Source organism: Homo sapiens, chromosome 14 (assembly GCF_000001405.40).
Source record: "Homo sapiens chromosome 14, GRCh38.p14 Primary Assembly".
Classification (NCBI taxonomy): domain Eukaryota; kingdom Metazoa; phylum Chordata; class Mammalia; order Primates; family Hominidae; genus Homo; species Homo sapiens.
In genome coordinates, this window is record NC_000014.9 from 74,563,632 (window position 1) to 74,588,431 (window position 24,800).

At 51.1% G+C, this 24,800-nt stretch overlaps 1 protein-coding gene across 1 annotated transcript in view, besides 1 other annotated feature; it reads right to left on the reverse strand.

The window, feature by feature from the left end:
• Positions 1 to 24,800, reverse strand: part of LTBP2 (latent transforming growth factor beta binding protein 2) — a 114,055-nt gene that overhangs the window by 65,449 nt on the left and 23,806 nt on the right. The window contains exon 3 of the mRNA NM_000428.3: positions 22,223 to 22,487. Within this exon, the coding sequence (NP_000419.1) occupies positions 22,223 to 22,487 (265 nt within the window). The remainder of the gene's footprint in view (positions 1 to 22,222; positions 22,488 to 24,800) is intronic.
• Positions 19,604 to 19,796: a silencer, noted in NCBI's record as "fragment chr14:75049938-75050130 (GRCh37/hg19 assembly coordinates)". NCBI's record gives its function as "represses an EF-1alpha promoter that drives an FKBP-Casp9 reporter gene in an ReSE screen in HepG2 liver carcinoma cells {active_cell/tissue: HepG2}" and the evidence as "EXISTENCE:reporter gene assay evidence [ECO:0000049][PMID:32094911]".

Sequence of the window (24,800 nt, forward strand, 5' to 3'; positions counted from 1 at the left end):
CAAAAAAAGAATAATACCTCAAGACATGAGCAAATGATATGAAATTCAAATTTAAGCATCTATAAAGTTTAACTGGAACACAGCTGCCCTCCTCATCTGTGACTGGTTTTGCTCTCCAATGGCACCGCTGAGTAGTTGCAGAAACCATATGTCACAGAAAATCTAAAATATTTACTGTCTGGCCATTTATGGAAGTCTGCTGGCTCCTGGTGTAGGGCATGTGAACTCCTGTGTAACATACAGAAAATAAGGATATATGTTGCAGTTATTTGCATATTCATAAAGCAACCTTGGAAGGATACCCTGGAATATTAATAACAGTGGTTACCTACGTATGTGGCAGGGTGGAGAACAGGAAGTGGGAAGTGGGTGGGTAGGGAATAAACTGGTGCTATATATATATTTATATATATATATTTATATATATATTTATATATATATATTTATATATATATTTATATATATATTTATATATATATTTATATATATATATTTATATATATATTTATATATATATATTTATATATATATTTATATATATATTTATATATATATTTATATATATATTTATATATATTTATATATATATTTATATATATATTTATATATATTTATATATATTTATATATATTTATATATATTTATATATATATTTATATATATATTTATATATATTTATATATATATTTATATATATATTTATATATATATATTTATATATATTTATATATATATTTATATATATATATTTATATTTTATATATTTTTATATATATATTTTGAGACAGAGTCTCACTCTGTTGCCCAGGCTGAAGTGCAGTGACGCAGTCTCGGCTCACTGCAACCTCCGTCTCCCAGGTTCAAGCAATTCTTCTGCCTCAGCCTCCTGAGTAGCTGGGACTACAGGTGCTCGCCACCATGCCAGGCTAATTTTTTTTTGTTTTTGTTTCACCATATTGGCCAGGCTGGTCTTGAACTCTTGACCTGGTGATCCGCCCACCTCAGCCTCCCAAAGTGCTGGGATTACAGGTGTGAGCCACCAGGCCCAGCCAACTGGTGCTATAATTTAATGACACTTTCTTTGTGCCATGTTCTGTGCCAATAACGCCCATTACGTGCATCCTCTCACATAGAGCTCTCCATATCCTAAGACTTAGATACTCATTATCCCCATTTTATAGTCAAGAAAACAGAGGCTATGGGGGTTCTATGCCTTGCAGAAGGTGGCTGAACTCCTAAGTGCTGAGGCCAGGTTACCAAACCAGGTAACTTCATCCTAAATCTACCATTAATCGTTTCTTTATCGCCATTTTACAAATGAGGACATTGAGGCTTTGAGGGATTAAAGAATAGGTCTGTGCCCTTATGGTGAAGGTCTTGAAATATTCAGGGAGGTGTCTGGGCTGTACTGAGTGGGTGAAGGGGAGTGTCCTGAGATTTTGAAGCAGGAAATGACCCGGTCCGAAGAACAGCTACACTTTTTCACTCATTCAAAGGGCAAGTACTGAGTGCCTGTTACAGGCCATGCACTGACCCCAGGGATGGCAAAAACTCCAACCTTGGTTGAAGTCTTTTGTCCCCTAAGCTCCAATGCGGGGTGGACAAAGGGACTAGTACCCTAGCAAAGGTGAGGGGGCAGAGGGGAAGCCACATGTTAGCCTCAAGTCACTCGTGGTCTTCAAGCAGGCCTAGGACATGTTGGGATGGGCATTCTTAAATGATGATTATTGCAGTGAAAGACCACCTGGTAGAGAGTGGACTAAAGAGAGGCGAGCTGGAGGCCAGCTGGAAGGCTTTGGCTGTGGTCTAGGCTATCAGTGGCCGAGGAAAGAACCAAGAAGAAGGCATGGATGCAAGGGCTATTTCAGATGTAGAGACAGATAATTCCCAGCTATGACTTGGACTAATAGGTGGAGGGAGTTCCAAGAGCCAAGATCTCAACATGAGAAATCCAAGAAGTGAATGATGGGCTCAGTTTTGGATATAATGAGTGCTTGGTATCTTGAGATGGAAACACCCAGGAGGCAGAACTTGGGAGAGAGTTTTGGGGCTGTAGACACAGTTGGGGCTGGGAGGAGGTTGTAAGAGTAGAGGTGGTAGCTGTAGAGTTAAGAGGGAAGGATGATATCATTCGAGGAAAGCAGGCAGAACAAACCATGCTTCAGAGTGCCACTGCCTGACTGGGGCGTTAACTCTGCCAACGTTTTCCAATTTAAAAGGGGAAAATGTAATAATGAACAGAATGGTCTCAGTTCTAAGTCTTGCTCCCATAAATTCTTCTCCAACCTCTGGCGCCTGCTACCACTTGTCTGCTAGCACACGATTAAACAAACGAACAAGCCGTAAATTAATATTAACGGAAAAATGTGGCAACAGCCTATCATACTTCATCCCACAGTTTGCGCTTTTCACGGACACGTGCGTGTGCCTATAGCTGGGTTTTTTTTTTTAATTTTTTTTATGCATACATAGACAATCGTCATAGTTTCTGCTAATAAAACTGTTCCCAGCTCTAATCATGAAATTAAGTATATTGATATTTCGTGGTACTCCTTATGACTTCCAGGTGTTCTGACACCTAAACAGTTTGAGAAATGTAAGAGGAAAGAGAACAAAGAAGGGCAGAGGGGGCCTAGGGAACACCAACGCTTAAGAGGCAGACAGAGGGAGAGGCTCTGAAGGCATCTGGAAGGGAGCAGCCAGAGGAATAGGAAGGATCTAGGAGAAAGCTCCAAGAGAGGAAGGCGTTCCCAGAACTCTCTCTGCTGCCGGCCAAAGCGCAGAGGCTGCTCCTTCCTGCGGCTGCAGGGGCAGCTCACTTCAGCTTAACATGCCCTGTGTTTCCCTGATGGCTTGGTCTCCCCTGAGGATCTGGGTGCTGGCAAGGCAGAGGAAGGCCCTTGCAGAGCTCTGCTCCTTTCTCCTCCTGTCTGGCCAGGCAGGCCCTTGGCTGCCAAACCCCTGGGGACCTAAGATAGGGAGACGAGTAGGGACAGCATGTTCAACGGGCCCAGAGCCTGGATTGGAATCTGTACCTTCTTGTTGCCTGGCACGCTGATAGGGCATCATCAACATTCCCTGGTGCCTATCCTAAAGGGTCGAGAGCCAGCCCTCTCCCCCGTGTCCCCAAGGAGTCTCAAGATCACTCCTGCTGCTGTGTCTGCTTGGCGCACCCACCCAACCTCTTTGCCCTCATCAGTCAGCTCCAGGCACCCCACTCACCCCACCTGGCTGCCATGAGTCACATCCCCAGTGCTCTGAGGCTCTGGGCCTCTAGCTCTTCCTATGGCCACACCTAGGTCTGAAAGGACTGGATTCCCCAGCACACAGACCCCAGGGGATGACCCTGCCAGGCTGTGGGTGGGGAGGAGGTAGAGCCCTGGGGCAGTCTCTCCTGTCCAGACCACACCCTGCCCTGCTTCCCAGACAGCTCAAGGGAACACAGCATTCCTGTTTCAGGCAGGGAGACGGAGGGAGGCATGAGCTCTGCGTGTCGGGGTTAATGTCAGGGAGGGGCACCCAGCCCTTGCCTGCAGCCCGGTCCCCCCTCAAGGGCAGCCCTGAAGTAGGTGCTGCCTCAGTTTCTAAAGGGTCCAGAGACTCCTAGGAGCCACATCTCTCCCCTCCACCCTCCAGCCCCCTCATGTGTTGGTCCACTGTGAACACTTTTCCACCGAGCAGCCAGCCTTTAGGCTGCCGGGCTGCCAAGCCCTGGCCCCTCGAGATCCTGCGCGGCCTTTGTTCCCTCCTGGCAGGGTAAGAGAGCCAGGCAAGAGAGCCAGAGCGAGCTGCCTGGGCACTGGGCTCACACCCGGGCCACCTCAGGGGCAGAGGCGGGGTGGGGGTGGCCCTGAGAGGTTCTCAGGGCTCCAGGAAATGCCCCTCATTTTCTCCCTAGCTTGCCCATGTGTCCAGCTGCTGTGGCGATAGCCCTCTTCTTCCCACCAGGAAAAAGAGCCCCTCTAAGTGCTTCCCTGTCTCCTTCTGGGCCCAGCTGGACCACCCAAAGGGTTGCAGCTCGGCGGGGGACACAGACCCCCAGGAGGGAAGGGACTGGGCCTTACCCTCTTCATATCTTCCATGGAGTCGTCACAGCGCTGGGCACACAGCTGCTGCCCTGAAAATATTTCTCACACTCAACTTCAGACTTCTCCATGGCTTCTCCCAGTCCTCCTGCCTCACTGGAACCATCTCCCCAGCCCTAGCTGGGCCCCATTCCTCAGCCACCCAGGGCCCGCAGGCAGTCTGAGGCCCCTGGCTCCGAGTTCCCTCGGGAAGACTTGTCAGCACACGGTGAACCTGGATTTCATGAATTCGTCGTTCAACCACCGCCAACGTGCACCGTCCCATCAGGCATTATGCAAAGGGCATCTTTCCCACCAAGAGCTTGCCACCCAGACTGGGGGGCAGGGGGTAGGGAGAGGCCGAGCATACCTGGTGCCTTCGCACAAATCACAAGAGGCCTCTCTGGGCAGCCAGTTTACAGAAGTTGCCCTACTTCCTTCAGGCTGATGTAGCGTGGTCCCGGTGCTGGGTGAGCAGAACACAGGCTAGATTTTGGCCCCAGGGTTCATCTCCTGCCTGGCACCCTTGTGCAGGACACAGCAGGTACACTATATACAGCAGCCCCGGGCCAGCCCCCTGCATGCGAGCATTTCATAACAATCCAAGAGCAGAGATGGAGGAGAGGGGCAGAAGCCAGGAGTCTTATGGCCAGGTAAGCTGTCCAGCCAGCATGTTCCAGCGCGGCCGTGGGGCTGGATCACTGGGGAATGCTTTCCAGAGGGTGGGAGACATGAGCCGGAGGAAGGGGTGGGGAGTGCAGAGAGAGCCACAAGCATAAACGGACATATTCAGGAATGTGCTGGCATGGTGTTCAGGGATAATCAGACCTGTCTGATTAAAGAGAAATAGGAGGAGTCAAGGATGAGAATAATAATAGCCAACAGTTACATAGTGCTAATCATATGCCAGGCACTGTGCTAAGCACTTTACATATATTAATTCAGTTAACCACCATTAAAATTAGGAAGTAGGTATTATTATTATCCCTTTTCCAGATGAGGCATAAAGAAGCTAGGTAACTTACTTAAGGTCACATAGTCAATGACTAGGAATCAAATACAGGCATTCTGCAGATATTCTAGTTCCAGAGCCTATACCACGAATCTTTGCACCATCTTGAGAACTATACTTCGGGACCTAGTACAGAAGGCCAACAGTCTGGGCCTCATCCTATGAACCTCATGCTTGAAAAGGAAGCCTTGAAAAAAGTGTTTTCACCAGAAAGTAACAAGGTTAAAAATAGTCATGGAAAACTCCCCTTGGAGGCCCCCTACCTACCCCTATTACCCACACTGCCCAGGGATGCTCCCCTCCTTGTCTCCTAGAGCACTTGCAAAAGCTTCCCAAGGGCTGGGTGTGCTGTAGCTGCTTGAGCATGTCAAACCGCTGGATGTGAGCTCTTAGAGGCGAGGCATGGGTCCAAGTCATCTAGTGCCTGGAATGAAGATAGAGATGGAGGGAAGGAGGGAAGAAGGGAAGCAGGGAGGGAGGGAGGGAGGGAGGGAGGGAAAGAAGGGTGGCCAAGTCTGAACAAAATCCTTGTCAGTTGCCCGACTCAGAGAACATCCCTCTTTTTAGCATCCTTTCTTCCAACTGGCCTGAATGAATGGAAGAATGATTAATAGGAAGTATGAGATTCACACAGGAGAAGGTTATTTATTCCTGGCTTACCACTTGGAATGTGTTATGGGGTCTAATTGCAGGAGACCCCCTCTTAGCACAGGTTCTTTGGGTGGGCAGACACTGGGAATGTTGAACTGAAGGACTAAAGTTGTGTACAGACGTGCTGCTGGAGCTCAGATCAAGGCCTGGGTTTCCCCTGGCTATTAGAACAGGGCATCTGCTCATGCCAAAAGGGGGTTACTCCTCCCAGGTCCAATGACAGAAGCCAGCTGTGCTGAGGGGCAGAGATCAGACTATAATGAGATTTGTCCACTGGTATCTCTTCCTCTGGGTATCTGCTGGGGCGTCAGAGTCCTTCCCACACAACCTGTCTTGATGAAATAATTGCTATACTTACTAAACACAGGCTGAGCACCAGGCACCAAACACACATGACCTTATAAAGGTCCCCTAACAAGAACCTAAGACATAGGTGTCTCTGCCCCACTATGACCTATGAGAAATTTGCGGCATGAAGGAGGAAGGTAGCTGGCCCAAGCTCACGTATCTCATGAACGGCAAAACCCACAGTCCTAAAGCTCAGGACTGCCAGGCTCTAAAGCTCATCTCACCCCTCCCATCACTGCAGCCAAACTCCCTCCACAAGCTGCCATGGTGATGCTGCATTAACTACAAGGAAGTGTATGAAAACCAGAAGTGGCTGGAGAGCTGCAGCCATGAAAAGGGAATGAAAATGCAAGGCAGGGCCTAGGGACCTGGCAAGTGCTACAGGAGATTGGAGGAGGGGCTGGAGGAAGGGGAGGAGAGACACCTAGGCTGAGGGGATTGAGCTAGGACTCTTTCCCAAAGCCACAGCAAACCTGGTATACAAACATCTCACCACCACTAACTTGGCCATGAGATGCTCACCTCCTGAACCCTTGAGTTCCCAGCTCATGGCCTTCAGGACCCTTCCACCCTCCATGATGCGCCCCCACACATGCCCATGCACAAGCTTAGCAGGTCTGGCTTATTGAACAGCAAACACAGGCCTGACTCCAGATGTGTTTACCCCACTCGTGGGCCTGCCCCGACAAGCACACTGTAGACTAAGGCAGCTAGGGACCTGGGTCAAAGATACACTTTCAGGAACTGGCCAAAGTCCCAGCCTGCCCTTTCCGCTCTCACAGGGGCTGGAAATTTACCCCGGGGCCATAAACAAAAGGAGATTTCTATGGGAACTAGGGCCCCAACCTGGAAAGCTTCCATTCAGCAATCTAGCAGCCCAAATCTGTCAACCTATGATGTGCCAGGCCTCTGCTAAGGCATTTTATTTTTTTATTTACTTGATTAGTACAGCAACCCTATGATACAGGAACTAGTGTCCCCATTTTACAGAAGAGAAAACTGAAGCACAGGGAGCCTGCTAACTTGCCCGGGGTCATCCCCAGCAGGGAAGTGCTGGGCCAGGGTCTTCAGGCTGAGCTCTGTCTGCCTCTGGGGGATGAGATTCCCTTCCCCACCCTGCTGCTCACCCTTGGCTGTGACCAGAAACCTCCCAGGTCTGGAAACACCTTCAAGTGCTCTGGGCAAATTCTCAAAGTTTCTGATGACCGCTGCTGCATTTCTGAAAGGCTCAGATAACCCCCGAGGCAGGGGACAAGTAAGAGTGGGTACGGTGAGACTTTGAACAAATGTACAGAACCATGAACCAAATAAACCACTTTTCTTTATATTAAAAAAAAAAAAAAGAGTGGGCACGGTGGCTCATGCCTGTAATCCCAGCCCTTTGGAAGGCTGAGGTGGGCGGATCACTTGAGGTCAGGAGTTCGATACCAGCCTGGCCAACATAGTGAAACCCCGTCTCTACTAAAAATACAAAAATTAGCTGAGCATGGTGGTGGGCACCTGTAATTCCCCAGTTACTTAGGAGGCTGAGGCAGGAGAATTGCTTGAACCTGGGAGACAGAGGTTGCAGTGAGCCGAGGTCATGCCACTGCACTCCAGCCTGGATAACAGAGCGAGACTCCATCCTCCTCCCCACCAAAAAAGACTGGGTGTCATTTATAGAGGACCAAAAATGTGCCAGATGCACTTACGTGGATTAGTCAATCCTTCTGACAATTCCATAAGGTAGCAATGATCATCCCCAGCCTACAGATGAGAACACTGAAGCTCACAAGGTTAAATCACTCACTGTAGGCTGCATAGCTAAGTGGTGGAGCTGAGATTCAAACTCAGGTTTATTTAAGACATAAATTATTTCACAATTCTGCCCTCACACGCTACTGCATTTTGTGGAGCCTCTGACCTTGTCCCAAGAACATCAAAAAAGAAAGAAATGTGGAATTAATTTTTCTCCCCTGGAAGGGCGTGGCCTGGCTGGGGTCTTGAGAGGATACCGCCAGACCCCTGCAGATGCAGACTCCCTCAAGTGGCCTCTGCTGCGGGCACTCGCGGGTGGACATGTTACATCGTGGGCAGGGCTGAGGCTCCAGGAGGAAAATGCAGCGTAGGCGACATCTGGAAGCAGAAATGTGGTAGCTCCAGAAGTTTTCATCTGTAATCTTTGTTTTGCAAGGAACAGGGATTTTTTTTCTTTTCAAAAAGTACTCCACTTCCTTTTAGACCTTTCACAAATATTTTTGTAGGAGAAATAAGGAGAAAAAAAAAAACCCACAGAATGCTTGTCGCAGCTACTCACTTCCACCATGAATCACAGACACAAAACCACAGCTATGTGGCTAGCAAAGCAACTATGTGTTTTCACATTTCATTATTGGGAATCATTTAGCAATCTTCCCGGTGTCATCTGCAGACAGATAGACACAGACAGACGAATACACCCCTCTGGGTCCCAAGCAGCCTCATACAACACAGTCATCAGATGACTTTGCAGTTAATCCATTTTCCCCTTCTAATCCTTTTCTGGGAAATTATCCTGCCAGGTTTAAATCTTCCCCTTTAGCCCTTCTGCAGAGGTGGGGTGTGTGTGTGTGTGTGTGTGTCTGTGTGTGTGTGTGTGAGAGAGAGAGAGAGAGAGTGTGTGTGTGTGCATGCGCCATGACAGGGGGAGGAGGAGGAGTGCCGAGACACTGATTCAGTTAATTTCACAAGTGGAAACAAGTGTATGTTTCAGAATGCCTCCCTTTTTTTTTTTTTTAAACTGTGATCATACTTTGCTAAAGTTATTTTCACCTGGGAAGCTCACAGTGCCTTTTCTGACCGTGGCAAATTAATTAACTGATGGCAGATTTAAAGATGGAGTAACTGGAAAAACTACCGGACCCATAAATCAGAAACCTCCTTTATGTCCTGGACAAGAGGTGAAACCTGATACATATTTGAAAAACTTGAGCTCAAAAGGAGAATTCACGGAGCCTGAAAAAATCTCCATTATGACTTTTGAGACATGTTCTCTCCACAGCTTCCACCCACGCCCCGCCACACACACACGCATACACACACATACCCCCGCAGAGGGAGACCCTCACTGAGTGAGCAGCCAGTTCTGTAAAAAGCAGCCGGATGGGGCGAACCTTCCCTGGGCCATCTGAAAAAGAGCTTTGCCAGTCTTTCCTCTCTTTTCTTGCTTCATTGCTCCCAGCCTCTTCCTTTCAAACAAAAATCCTACAGGATTTAAGTTGGCTAGATGCTATGAACATAGCTACAAGCTTGAAATGTTTATTGTCACTAGTTATTTTAAGTCCGGTGCTGGAAACTGTATACATTAACATTTTAATGAGGCCGAATGCTGCTCCAGGCTCTCACCGACTTCTGTAGTTTTCTGAAAAGACGCTGGATACCTTGCCTAACCCAGTACTCTGCAGTTTCCAAGCCAAGCTGGATGTTTCCGCACTTGCCTACGCTCACATGCCCTGGAGGCTGGTTCGCACAATGACTATAATCACAAGTTCTGAAGTCGAGGAGAGCTAGGCTGGAATCGCCCTTACCCTCAGTGTCCTCATTGCAAAGTGGGAGTCATGGGAATACCCTCCTCACAGGGTCATGGCAAGGACTGGCAAATGTGCTGAAGATCTTCCACTTGCCCCTGGATCCCTCTCCATCCCACTCTGAGTCCTGGGAGATTCCTTTGCCCTCTGCCTTCTGGTCCAGTTCCATCAGTGGGGAACTGTGGCAGGAGGTCAGAGGGCAGGAGAAGGGTGAGTGGAGGTGCAGATCCTCCCAGCTCCCTCGCAACAGGTACTGCAGGTGAGCAGTGGCTGCATTCCTCCACCAGAGGCCGCAGCCCTGTCCATGGCCCTCTCCTATAGCCTGAGCTACCCTGGGTTCTTATGACTGCTGGTCCCTTGCCCCTTTAGACCTGGAGGGTAAGAGCTTGCCTACGTAACTACCCTGGGATACTCCACCATTATTCATTGTTTTCTCTTGACTCTGCCAGTGCTTTTGTAAATAAATACATCGAGTGTGCCATCCCTTTCCTGCTGGAACTCTAACTGACCCAGACAAGAAAAAGTATTTGCTATCGAGTACTGAGCACTTACCTATGTGAGCCGGCACTTTATCCACATTCCTTTGTGTTATTCTGACCACAGCTCTGCGCAGCCAGTATTGGTATCATCAGTCTTTCACATTGAGACTCGGGGAGGTGAAAGAACACACTTGATAGCACGACTGGGGAGTAACCGAGTCAAGTGGAACCGGGATCTGTCTGACTCGTGGCCCATGCTCTTAGCCACTGTGCCGAGCTGTCCCCAGTATTAAATTAGGTGGTGCCTGTAAACTGTCAGCTTATTCAATAAGGCTCCATCAATGGTGGGTTAGAACAACAACCACACATACAATCGAAAACACCCACAGTCCTAAATGTTACTTTAGCATAACCCTAACCCAACCCTGACCACAATCCTAAGATTAAAACCTCACCCTAATGCTGCACTGCTAAAGTTATTCCTCTAATCTTACCCTAACCACTACCGTACTGTTAAATAGAATGTCACCCTAACCACAACCTTAGTGCTAGTCAATCTTAACCCAAACTTCCGCCATGGTAACCATAATTCTAAGCACACCACTAAGGCCATGATGAGCTCTGGGGAACCTCTGCACCCCTGTGCTCCTGGGTGCTGGTCCCTGTGCTATGCCATTTATACTCCACTATTTGGACACGACACAATTGACCAAAAGACATTTGTACAACATCCATGTCCTGCATGTCACTGAGCTGGTGACTCTAAAGTGGGGACAGCAAGGAGGAAAAGAATAGGGTAGGAATCTAGCACAATGCCTGAAACACAGCAGGGTGCAATAAATCCTACTGATGATGAAGATGATGATGATGAACTGGAAAAGGTAGCTTTCCCCATCACCGAACTGTAGGCTCTGGGAGGACAGAAGGTGAATAGCTCGTATCTCAGAGATTTGTTTAGGGCTGGACCTGGGGCAGGGCTGGGAGGAGTCCTCTCCTGAAACCAAACCCAGGATGCGGTCCATATATTCCTCAGCTCTGGGAGAATACTAAAAAAGGGAGTCACTAGGTTGTCATCAGAGAGTTTGAGATCTTCTTGGGCCAGATGTCCGCCTTCAGGCTCAAATGGGAGAAGGGGGAAGGTAGGAGGAAGTGTGTAGAAAGCAGACACCATTTCCCTTGAATCTGCCCAGTGCCCCATGTGGGGAGAAGGCGGGGCCTCCTCCCCTGAGCACTCAGAGGCCTGAGCTCGGCATCCTCACCAACCCAGAGATGTCTGCTCTGTGCCCAGCATGAGAAAAGGAAGAGGTTGCCGGCTTTATCACGCAGAAGAAGGAAGGCACACTGGCCCCCACCTTCCTCACAACCTCTCCTGGGACTTCTAGGCTCCGGATCAAAGCATAGCTAGACCGTGTGCCCTGGGCTACATCTGCCCAGAGCTGGAGTCTTTTTATCATCCCACACCTGTACCCCCTAAGGCCAGCCGTGGCCTGCTCAGGGCCTGACCTCCATGGATCTCAGGTATTTGTGTGGGTTGGAGAGATGCACGTTAACACTACAAAGGCCCAGAGATCCATCCCCCTTTCAGGGGAACCTCGAAGGGACCTCAACAGCCAAACCCAGCTGGAAAGGACGGCCTTGAAGCAATACACTTTGTAAGGGAAATAGGAGACATCTCTCTCCTTCCCAGAAAGAAGCCAGGTCTAGTATCACCACATACAGCTGCACAGGCTGTGCACTGCACAACTCTTGGGTTACCTGTCACAGAGACTATAATGTGAAGGACAACCCCTGGTGTTGTGTCCAACAGCTGAAAGGTCCAATGCAGAACAGCAGGCGTCCCTCCCCTGCCTGGCTGGAACACAGTGCCTCAGACCCATCTGGCCACTCCAAATAGTCTCTGCTGGACAGGGATGCACTGGGGCTGGCAGAGGTTGAGTGCCAAGGGACCCTCCACAAGCCTTAGTGTGGCCCATCCACATTTCTAGAACCTACCCTCTGCAACAGCAGGGAGATGGGGCGTGGGTGGTGAAGGAAGTTCTTGGCTGAGACAAAGGTCTCTTCCCACTCTCCTCAAAAAGCATGAGCAGGGCTTCTGCACCCTCAGACTTGGGAAAATAAAATCTCTTCCATTGGATCTGGCTGGAGGCCTACAGTGAGCATTCCCCTTCTTCCTAACCCCTCTGAGCCCTCCCTCTTCCAAACCCACAGCCCCAGGGAAGGGGAGTCATGGGGGCTCTTCTAAGGCCCAAGAGATGGAAGAAACCAGGAGGAGCCTCCTTTACAGCTGCCACAACCCCCTGTCCAGACTCTCAGCACTCCTGAGGGTCTGTCAAGCCCACTCTCCCTGCCCTCAGGGGAGAGGCATTGCCCTCAGTTTGCCTGGCTTCCGACTCCCAGGGCCAAGGGGCACAGGGTGAGGAAGCACCACCTGTTGGGAGGGCTGGGAGAGCCCCTCCATGTCAGTGACTTGCTAGGGGATGGCCCGAGCATCAGCTCAGAAGGAAATGGCCCTGAGACCATCTCTCTGCTCTAGGAAGCAACAGAAGATGCGTTAGGACAGGGGTGTCCATTCAGTGGATATTTAGTTAGTGAGGGCCTGCTATATCCTGGGCACCATTCTAGGAGCTTGGGATATGTCAGTGAACAAAACAAAGATCCCTGCTCTTGAGGAATATAGTAACTGGGAAAAATGGATTATATACCAATGTAATAAATAAGTAAATTATATGCTACGTTAGAAAGTGGAAAATAGAAAGTACTGTGGAAATAAAAAGTGAGCCAGAGGAAAGGACTCTCAAGTTGAGGTTTGAAAATATTAAATATTGGAAAAATGGGAGACATCTCCTTCTAGGGAAGAAGCCAGGTCTGGGGTCACCACATACAGCTGCATACGCTGTACACTGTACAACTCTTGGGGTACCTGTCACAGAGAGTATGATATGATGGAAGGACATCCCCTGTTGTTGTGTTAAGATGGACACAACAGGGGATGTCCTTCCCTAAGCTTAAAATTAAAAGATTTCCTCTAAACTATTTCCTCAAGGGCCTCATTAAGGAGCTTCTTCCTAAAAGTGGCTTCTGTACATATACCAGGCATGAGCAAATACCCAAGCCCAGTGTCAGGACAGCTAAAAAGTAATAACAAGCATTTGCAAGGCATGTTAAAACTCACAAAGCAATCTTTCACACACGTCTTAGTTAATTCTCACAACATCCCAGTGAGGGGAGAATTAACCCTCTCATTTTACAGAAAGGGACATTAATGCTTAGTGATGTTAAGTGGCTTGCCCAAGGTCACAAGGCCAGTTAGTAACTAAGAGGCCAAAATTGGGTTTACTGATTCCGAGTCTATTCAAAATAGTTTTCAAGGTCCTAAGTGTTGGGGGAATTCCAGAAAAACCCAAGGAGCAATTTTGGGAATCAGAGTTATACAAACAGGTCAGGAAAAAGAAAGAAAAAAAGGCTAAAAAAAGAAAAGAAAGAGAGAGAAGGGCTCAACCCTCGGAGGCCACCACAGATTTGTAGGTTTGAGTTAACCCCGCAGAGAAAGAGAACTCAGTGGCCATGAGGAAATGGGTGACACAGCACAGAAGATGCAGGCTGCTTAGCCCTCTGCAGGCTTGCCAAGGTGTCAGGGACAGCGAAGGTCTGCCCTGGTGAGAGGCTCACATGTTCTTGTCACAACCTTGGAAACAGGCAAAGGGGAGAATGAGCACATTTCACCATTAGGGATGGAAGATGGCCAGGCTGGCCGGAATCCTAGACCATTATCTCTTTTTTTTTTTTTTTTTTTCTTGAAACAGAGTCTCACTCTGTTGCCCAGGCTGGAGTACAGTGGCGCAATCTCAGTTCACTGCAACCTCTACCTCCCAGATTCAAGCCATTCTCCCATCTCAGCCTCCCAAGTAGCTGGGATTACAGATGCCCACCACCATACCCAGCTAATTTTTGTATCTTTAGTAGAAATGGGGTTTCCATGTTGATCAGGCTGGTCTTGCACTCCTGACCTCCAGTGATCCGCCTGTCTCAGCCTCCCAAAGTGCTGGGATTACAGGCATGGCCAGCGCGCCCAGCTGACCATTAGCTCTTGAGCTTAGAGGAGATCCACACTAGCCCTCTGATTTACAAATGCGGGAACAAGCCCAGGAAGGGCAGAAGATTTTCCCAAGGTCTCCGAGCACACGTTGGTCTTCTGGCACGTCACAGCTGAATCAGAGAACAATCTTGGGTCCAAGGGACTTGAATGAGAAGGAAGAAAGACAAAGAGGGGGCCACGTAGCCCAAAGGAACAAGCAGAAGGCCCGCAGCAGCACACAGAAGCCCAGAGGGGAGGGTGGCAGCGGTGGGAGGGGCTGGAGCAGGAGCCAGGCTCAGAAGGCCAGGGCAGGCCTTCAGGTGGGCCCACAACCTAGTGGCCAACCTGCATCCTGCCTCAGTTTCCCCAGCTATAAGCCCAGACAGTGAGGTGCAGAAAAACTCATCCTGGCAAATGAGGTGTTCCACACTGATCTGTCATAAGCACATGGAGTAGGCAGGTAGGCCAAGAGATTTCAGGTTTATTGGACCGACTGTGTGGCAGACACCCCGCGAATCGTGCTACATTATTTCAGTAAATTCTCCCAACCATCGTAGAAGATGGACATTCATTTTCCCACATCAAGGTCAAAGAAATTGAGTTTCAGGGAGGTAAAGGGGCTTGCAAAGTTTGTGAGGGCATCAGGATTTACATTCTGCCTAACACCAAATTTAACCCCCCTGCCCCGGGCTCCCCTGACACACACACTGGGCCACCAGGCACCCTACTCATGTCCCCTCATCCAGCCACCAGACTCTAATCCTCAGGGCACCCAGCACTGCCCCAGTCAGAAACTAGTCTGCACTCCCCCATAACAGTGCCACACGGCCTCCTTCCTGCCAGCCAAGCCTGAACCCGCCTCTAGGTTCACGATATCATCAGCAGACCTGTCCACAACAGCCCTGCAGGGAGCCTTGTCCTGTGTCCTCCCTGACCCCAACCCCTTTGCTGCTGGCACTGGGGGAAGGGGACACAATTTACAAGCTGCCACACTGAGGTCCCCAGGCTGGGTGTCTGTTCCCAGCCACTCTGTTCCTGGCACCTAGGCTTTTTGTTTGTTTGTTTTCGAGACAGAGTTTTGCTCTTGTTGCCCAGGCTGGAGTGCAATGTCGTGATCTTGGCTCACTGCAACCTCTGCCTCCCGGGTTCAAGCAATTCCCCTGTCTCAGCCTCCCAAGTAGCTGGGATTACAGGCGCCTGCCACCATGCCTGGCTAATTGTTTGTATTTTTAGTAGAGACGGGGTTTCGCCATGTTGGCCAGGCTCGTCTCGAACTCCTGACCTCGGGTGATCCACCCACCTCTGCCTCCCAAAGTGCTGGGATTACAGGTGTGAGCCACTGCGCCTGGCCCCAGCACCTAGTTTCTGATTCTGCCTCGTCACTGGGAAAACCCCTTGCCATTTTGTCAACCAGGGGGTGCTGCCTTCCCCGCACCTTTGCCCCTAGGAAGGGATGCCTGGGTCTCCCCGGCAGTGGCTCTGGGGCAGCAATCTTTTGATAGTTCCCTCCGTTCCCTCAGACTTAGAGAGACCACCGACTTGGGAGCAGAGTCCCTGTGCTCCCAACAGGAAAGTTAGTCAAGGTCTTGGGTGGAGGCAGGCAGCACTGCCACGGGAAACCCGTGGGCTCACTCTCAGTGCAGTAGGTTAAAGGTCATGCCAATCACTCTCAGCATCAGTAGGTTAAAGGTCATGCCAAAAAGTGCCAACAGGGCTCCTGTGGAGCCGTGGAGGCTGAGGCAAGGCAGGGTTCTGCTCTGAGGTAGGGAGCCTCTGCCCAGGTGACCACCCACATGCAGGCACATGCTGCCATACGCTCCCAGCAGTCCTGGCACTCACCACCTGAGGTTGGACCTCCAACAAGAGCTGCCCTGGTGCCCTGGCCCTTCCCTGTCTCCCCACGGACAAAAACTCAGAGAGATTAGTGCAGGCAGAGGACAGGTGCTGGAAATACCAGGCTGGGAAGGGGTAAGGACAGGCTACCTCCCCTCTCTGAGCCTCTCCTCACCAACAGAACGGCAACCCTGGCCACCTGTTGTAGGGAGTTGTGAGATGTAAAACAAAATGGATGTAGACAGCCGATTGTAGACGTAAAGCAAAATGGGTGTAGACAGCTAATTGACTCAACCATACTCTGGGCATGTATTTACTCAATGCTACAATGGGCTGAGTCATGCTCGAGGTGCTGGAGAGATTTCTGCCAAGAAAAGAGAGAAAAACCCCTGTCCTCCCACATCTGACGCTTTCTTGGGGTAAGAAGAAGAAGAATTCAAATAAATAGGTAAAATACCTAAGACGTTAGTGTTGCAGAGAAAAATGCCAGGTGGGAGGTGGGGAGGATGTGGAGGGCATGGTTTTAGATGTGGTGGACAGAGAGGGCCCCACTACAAAGGAAAGGGGAGAAGAAGCCACGGGAGTGTGAGGGGAAGAGTGTTTTGATGCGGGTTGAATTGTGTCCTCATGAAGACGTGAGTCCTAACCCCGGACCTATGAATGTGACCTCGTTTGGAAATAGAGTCTTTGTAGATGTTGTTAGGTTTAGATGACTTCACACTGGATTAGGGAGGACCCTAAATCCAATGGCTGAACCCTTATAAGAAGAAGACAACACAGAGACACACAGACACACACAAGGAAGAAGGCCACGTGATGACTGAGGCGGGGTCAAGGTCATGCAGCTACAAGCCAAGGAAGGCCAAGGATTGCCAACAGATATGCTAGCAGAGAGGCACAGAACCTTCTCCCTCAGAGTCTCAGAGGGAACCAATCCTGCCACCTTTATTTTTGGACTTCCAGCTCCTGAGCTATAAGAGCATAAATTTCTGCTATTTTAAGCCACTCAGTGTGTTATGGAAGCCTTAGAAAACTAACACAGGGGCCAGGTGCAGTGGCTCACGCCTGTAATCCCAGCACTTAGGCCAAGGCAGGAGGATCGCTTGAACCCAGGAGTTGGAGACCAGCCTGGGCAACATGGTGAAACCACGTCTATAAAAAAATACAGAAATTAGCTGGGTATGGTGGTGCACACCTGTAGTCTCAGCTACTTGGGAGGCTGAGATGGGAGGATTGCAAGAGACCAGGAGGTCGAGGCTGCAGTGAGCTGTGACACTACACTCCAGCCTGGGTGACAGAGTGAGACCCTGTCTCAAAAAAAAATAATAATAATAATTCCAGGGCTCCAGGGAGGGGGATAGCAAGTGCCAAGGCCCTGAGGTGGGAGCATCTCCAGCACATTTGAGGAAAATACAGTCAGCTGGCAGAGCAGAAGCAGGATGAACACGGGCTGTGAGTGGTGAGGGTGGACACTGGGGATGTCAGACAGGCTTTGGGGCCAGATCACATAGGGCCACCCTTGTGGCAAGCCCTTGATAAGAGGGAGCTCTTCCACTTTGGACAAGGGTCCCAGTTGGAATGTGCTGTAGTGAGTGGGTGTGGTTGGCCCCCATGATCTCTGTTCCTGGGGTTACACCTTTGAATATGTTATATTAAATAGCAAAAGGAAATTAGGGTTACCGATGGAGTTAAGGTTGCTAATCAGTTGACCTTAAAATAGAGAGATGGTCCTGGATTATCTTGGTGGGCCCAGGGTCATGACATAGGCCCCTAAAAGTAGAAGAGGGAGGCAAGGGAGTGAGTCAGGGAGACAGACAGCCAAAGAGGCAGGCAGAGGGGAGATCCAAACATGGAGTCCACCTGCTGCTGCTGGCCTTGAAGATGGAGGAAGGTGGCCTCAAGCCAAGGAATGAGGGCAGCTCCTGATATGGCCCTCAAGTGACAGCTAGCAAGGAAATGGGGCCTCCGTCTTACAATTGCAAGGGACTGAATTCTGCAGATAACCTGAATGAGCGAGGAAACCGAGCCCCCCTAGAGCCCCAGGAGCCTGCTGACACCTTGATTTCAGCCTGGTGAGACCCGTTTCAGATGTGTGACCTATACAACTGTACAGAAATAAATGTGTGTTGTTTTAACCTGCTAATTTTGTGATCGTGTGTCATGGCAGCCATAGAAAACGAATACAGTGGATAAAGAGGTGGGGTGTGCAGAGAGGAAGAGATCCAGAGGAGAGGGAGCGACCAGGCAGGAGCAGCCTGCTGGAAGCCACCACCACAGGGTCACAGCTCCCCAGACACACCCCAGCCACCCCACTCAGGGCTCAGCACTGCCTTCAGGCCCCTTGTTGCCCATGTTGTGACAAAGCCTGCCTAGGGTTGTTGTTTTTTTTTTTTTTTTTGAGATGGAGTTTCACTCTTGTCACCCCAGCTGGAGTGCAATGGTGCCATCTCAGCTCACTGCAACCTCCACCTCCTGGGTTCAAGTGATTCTTCTCAAGCCTGTGTAGGATGTCTCCAGGGCTCAGCCTCTAGGTCCTCAGGTCTAGAGCAAACCCAGTGGAGGTCCCTCCCATTCTTGACACCTCCCCTTAACCTCCTCTTCCCTAGGGCTGGTGACAATGGTCCTGGTGGAATAACTGTATCCCAAGCCAGCCAAAGCCACTACTGGACCTGCTGACCACTGAGGCTGAGTCTGGGCTCTGATTTCTTCCCAGAACAGGTCTACACCTGTTCTGTGTACATGCACACACACACATACATACACACACACACACACACACACACACACACACACACTCCAGTTTCCTCTCTCTGCTTGTTGCCACCTCCTCCCATCCACCCAAGTCCTCACAGCAAAGAGATCCTGCCCATTGACAGCTATCATGTATTGAACACTAATTCATATCAGGCACCACACTAAGTGTTCTACTCACATGGTCTCATTTAATCTTTCCTGTCATCCTATCAGGTGGACACTATTGGCTCAGAGAGGTTAGGATGAGTGCCTGTTAACACACAGCTGGTGAGTGCTAAATCCAGAATTAGAATGCACCAAAGCCCGGGCTCTAACCCTCACTACTCAAAATATGGTCCGTGGCCCAGTAGCATCAGCATCCTGTGGGACCACGTTAGAGCTGATCATCCTAGACCTGCCGAATCAGAACCTGCATGTTGACAAGTTCCCAGGTGACTTACCTACTGGTTTCAGTTTGAGAAGTGCTGGTCTAAACCACTGCTTTCCAAAGCCTGCTGGTTGCAGGTTCCTGTAACCAGCCCTCTCCCATCTCTCCAGGCCCTTCCCAGCTGCCTGGCTTTTGATCTCCAGGTGAGGCAGGTACTCTGCCCAGCCTTGGGGAAGAAGCCAGGACATGAGGCTCAAGGGAGTCTCCAGGCCCCTCCAGTCAGCCCAGACAACAGCTGGACAGCATCAGTCCACATCTGGCCCTCTGTAGGGCACCCTGCCTGCTGCCTGGGACACTCCTGGCCTCTCCCTCTGGTCTTCCTCCAGGACACAAGTCTCTCGGTCTCTGCCTGCTCTCCTAAAGAGGGCCTCTGGCCATCACCAATCCCTGCAGTGTTCCCCTCCCCAGACATTTCCCTCCCCAACTCCTAGAATGCCCCCTGTGTCATGTCACCACCTCTATCTGGACACACAGGGCTTGTCCAAGTTGCTATCAGGAGAGAGGCCAGCAACTGCTTGAGAAACCTGGCCAAGGTCACAGGAAATGTCTGACACCACCAGGCAAGCAGGATTTGGCCTCCTAAAGCAAAACACAGCTGGGCCAGCAGCTGGGCCAACAGTAGGGCACTCCCAGATTTCATGGCATTGAGGCCCCAGGGCACAGAGAGACTAGGCTGGCCTGGAGGCTGCAGCTCATTAAGAACATCACAGTAGCCCCTGGCCAGGGAGCCTGTGAAAGTCAAAGAGGACAGCCCTGCTGTGGGCCAGAGACCTCACCCAGGACCTTGGCCCTCCACTGCCTGTCACACACAGGAAACCTTCACTGGGGGATAGAAGGCTCACACTGCCCATCCTCCTGGCCTTGCAGCCTCCCCTCTCCCCATCACCTAGCCTCATTTATTTATCCATTTAACTTACACTGATTGAGCACAGAAGTGTGCCAGGCATGGTGTTAGGTACCAGGGACACAATTTTGAATGAGCAGAACACAGTCCCTGTGAGCTCCCGGGTAGCTCCTGGTCCAGTGAGCAAATGGACAGATCATCTGAAGGCAGGGTGAAAAGTGCTGCGCTAGGGAAAAATGGAGAACCCACCATGGGAACCGGCAGGGGCCTCACCTCCTCCTGCCCTCTGAGCAACACATGGGGTGGTGCCCTTGGCTGCAGGTACAGCTGAGGGTTCAGCGCCAAGTAGGCCCTTTTGTTAGGCTAACTGTAGTTTGGACCCAGTGTCAGAGCAAATATGGACTGAGCATTTTTGATGGGCCAGGCACTATGCAGGGGGGCTGTAGAGAAATCCAGAGCACAGGCCACTGGGTCTACAAGCAGCTGGGGGTGCAGGGCGCAGATGCATGCCAGAGAGTAAGTGCTGCAGGGGCCAGAGAGCCTAGTGAATGTGATTCACCTTGAAGAATGGGGAGGAGTCAGACTGGTGGGAAGATGCAGCAGGGGACTTCAAACGGCTCTGACTCAAGATTCAAGAGTGTGAGAGGCAGAGTGACTTGCCCAGCAACCCCTGCTCCTAGCACACACCTACATGGGATCAGTGCATCATAAATAAATGAATCCCACAAGCCAAAAGAGATGGGGGAAGCTCTGCTGGAAGGACTCTGTGCCCACCCCTGCCCTGGCTGGCCCTTGAACTGGCACCTCTAGTATTCCTCCAGGTGCCTTACACCAGGCTTACCACCTAGGACCCTCAGCCAGGACCGATCAGAACAAGGCACCGGCACTGCCCACCTGCTCACTGCCAATCCCAGGCCCTCATTGTTATCCACCTGGGACCCTTAGCTCTGCTCCTTGTTTCTGCTGCAGCACCCCTGGGCCTTGGCTGCAGGGTTTGGCTCTTTTGCTCTTGACCTTGGAGTTCCCTAGGCCCTTGACCTGAGTCCATCCTTTCTTTCTTCCTGCTCCTAGCTGCCCTTGGAAAACATCTGCTTGGGTGACCAGGGCCCCGGAACCCAGCTCACCAAGATCCTGGTCCGCCTGACCTCACCCACTCTCAGAGTTCCTGGACACCCTCAACCTCCTTTCTTTGCTCTCCCTCCAACTCAGCCAGTCTCTCCTAACCTTTCCTGCTGGAACCTAACCTCAAGGTCGGCCTCCTCTCCCTGGTTCTCCTGGGCTCTGAAAGAGCAAATCCTCTTTCCCTTTAGTTCAGCAAGGCAAGGTTGCAACATTTCAGAAAGAACTTCTTAAGCAGAAAGCGAATGGAAAAACTAACCTGAAAAACGAAAAGGAAAACACAGTCCCCTAGAAATGGACTCGTTTATAAAGTTCAGATTTCCTGTCCTGAGCTAGAAAAAGTCTAGCCAGATGGGCTGGCAAGCAGGCCAGGGAATCCTGCCCATGAACACTCCCCTTGTTCACTTTTCTTTCTACTCCCTTCTCCCACATGCTCCTTCTTCTCCCCTCTAAGGAGAGAGGCTGAAGCTGGGTGCCGAGGAAACCGAAGGGTCTTCTTCTGGCAGAGGAGTCCTTCCTACATCACAGGGACCACAGGCAGAGGAGGAGGAGGTCAGGATGGGGTGTGGGAGAACAAGTATAAAGAGCTTCCATATGTGCCAGGCACTGTTCTAAGCACTTTCTTTATATTGACTAATTTAATCTTTACGACAATTCATAGCACAGGTATTATCATTGTCCCACCTTACTGATGCAGAATCCGAGGCACAGAGAGGTAAGTGACTCGCCTGGGGTGGCCCACCTGGGAAATGGCAAAGCCAGGCTGTGAACCAAGAAGCCGTGGTCCCAGGTACACGCCCTCCTCAGCTTTCTTTCAGGCACTCGAGGGCAAAGACTTCGCTTCCCTCCTCCTCTTCCCACCCCAGGCTGGCAAAGCCCATGCCAGCCCCAACACCTACTCTCCTGCTCATATCTCTGGCCATGCCAGGGAAAGCCAAGGAGGGTGGGGAGGAGAGAAGGGAGGACTCTGCGGCCTTCTCCACCAGCCTTCACCAAACGGTCCAAAGGAAGAAGCCCCTCCAAAAAGAGACTGAGCCCCAGACCCCAAGCCCCATGGAGAAGGGGACTTACCCAGCTGGTGGCGACTGTGGTGCGGGCGGCGACTGTGGTGCTGGCGGCTGTGCTCTGGCCAAGGTGCCCTCTCCAGCCGCACTGCTCCTGCGCAGGTTGGGTGAACGCTCGGCCCAGCGTCGAGGTGCCAGCCTGGAGTTCTGGGGGTCAAATTCCTCATCGGGAATGACCTCCTCGCAGCGGGCTCCACGGAAACCAGAGCGGCAGACACAGAGCTGCGGGCGGCTGCAGGAGCCCCGGTTCTGGCACGGCGGCTCGCAAACGGCTGAGGACACAGGGAGAGAGGTGACAGCAGTGGCCATAGGGCACTGAGACCACAGCTGCCCACACCTTCCTGTCAGAAGGGCCCTCCTGAGTGCTGCAACCCTGTCGCTCAAGCAGGAAGCCACTCTCCTGGCCTCAGGGGGCTCCCTGACCCATGTCTCTCCCACCTCCATCCACAGACCCCCAGGACTTGTTCACCTCTGATCTCTGGACAACCAAAGACTATATGGCCAGCTGCAGAGTGGCTCACACCACCACGTCCCACAGCACACCCTGAAGAGGAAGTGCACTGCCTGACACTGTGTCTATACTGAAATGTTCACTCCCACCAGACTGGAAGCCCCCTGAGGACAGACAGCGGCCCCGGAACTTTGACTAGGGATTGCCACAGAGTAGATTCTCAGTAAACATGGAGCGAATGGATGAATGAATCAGTCTCTTTTGCGGGAAAGGGCCCAACACTGGCCTGAAATTCAAGCGGTTTGAGTTGCTGGGGTTTTCCTGTCACTTGTGAGCTGCATGGTCTTGACTTCACTGAGCCTCTATTTGCGCCTAAATCACGGGAGGGGTGAACTAAGGAGGCTGGAGGACTCTAAGGGTCCTTCAAAGGCACCTTCAGCTTGACGGTCTCTCCTCTCCTTCCCATTGTTCTCCATCTCCCACCCTCCTTAGCAAGGCAGAACTCTCGACTGCGGCCAGAGAAAGCACGGTGGCCAGAATATAGCTGCCGGCACCACAGCCGCTGCCGGCCAGGTAAGTGCCCCGCTCTGTGGGGCCTCTGTTCAGGCTCAGGCTCTCTCTGGATTCTGCCTCCTGGGCTGTGGGTCCAGCCGGAGGCAAGGTGGAGCTGAAACCAGGCCCTCCTCCCGGTTAGCCCTATGCAGCATTAGCCACCAGCTCCCCAGGCTGACTCCTCTCTTCACTGTCCTTCACCCCCTTGCAAAGTCCAGAGCCACATCCCATGATTAATGGCCAAGGGAACATTCCACGCAGAGGCACACACTGGGATATGGAGTCCGGCCCCTCCCCCACCAGGACCTCCACTGGGGAACACATGTGAGCCCCGGAAGCATGGTCTGGCTCACACCGCACCCTCGAAACCCAATGCCTCATCCATCTGTCGCTCATTCATTCAACAAATAGCTGTTGAGCCCTAGTGAATGTCAGGCACTGGGACAAAGTCCTTGTCCATCTGGGGCTTGCGGTCGAGTAAAGGACACCAACAGGAAGCAAGAAAACAATAGCATGATGTGGCCTCAGGCAGTTTCAAGGGCTGTGAAGACAACCCAGGTGATGCAGGGGTCCAGGCCGAACCAGGAGACTCAGATGGGGCGGCCAGGGCACCTCTCTGAAGAGAGAGATGGGAGCGTGCAAAGGAAGCGAACCCCCAAAGACCTGGGCAGTTTCCCAAGCAGAGGACGAGGCGAAGACCAGGCTGTGGAGGCTGGAAGGAACGTGGCATACTCGAGAAGCCGCCAGAGACCCAGGAAGGCCAGGGTCTGGTGGCGGAGGAGGTGTAGGCAAGGTCAGTGAGGAAGAGGAGGCAGATACACAGACCCTGTCATCTCAGGGATCCTAAGGGCACCTGTGAAACTACCAGGCACAGCTACCCAGAGCAGGTTCCTGGGTTTTGTGAGCTGAACTCTCCTTTCTGAGAAGAGTACCAGAATCCAAACCAGGGGCTGGCCGGGATAAACATCTCCAAAATTCCACCTGGCCCATGTCACAGAGACCTTCAATGGCTCCCTGATGTCTTCAGGATTCAAGTCCATAGACGAGCGCTGAAGACCCTCCTGGTCTCATCCCCTCTAACATTCCTCTAAGCCAATGTGCTCCAGCCGAGCTGGCCTGCTGGCTGTGGCCCCAGGTAGCCTCTGCTCTGTCTTCTCTCTGTCTTTGCATGTGCTATGTCCTCTCTTCTTTCCCACTTGCTCTCCATTTACCTGGCTCCTACTGTTCCCTCAAGACCCACTTCCCCATGCTGGACACCCACCTCTCAGCAGCTGCTCCCTCCTTTGATTAACAGGAAAAACACTTGTCGTGTTTGCCATTCACTGGGCGTGCCCTGCATACTGCCATTAGTTTTTGTTGTTGTTGTTTTTGTTTTTTGGGTTTTTGTTTTGAGACGGAGTTTCACTCTTGTTGCCCAGGCTGGATGCAATGACGCGATCTCGGCTCACCACAAACTCCGCCTCCCAGATTCAAGTGATTCTCCTGCCTCAGCCTCCCGAGTAGCTGGGATTACAGGCGCCTGACACCATGCCCTGCTAATTTTGTATTTTTATTGGAGACGGAGTTTCTCCATGTTGGTCAG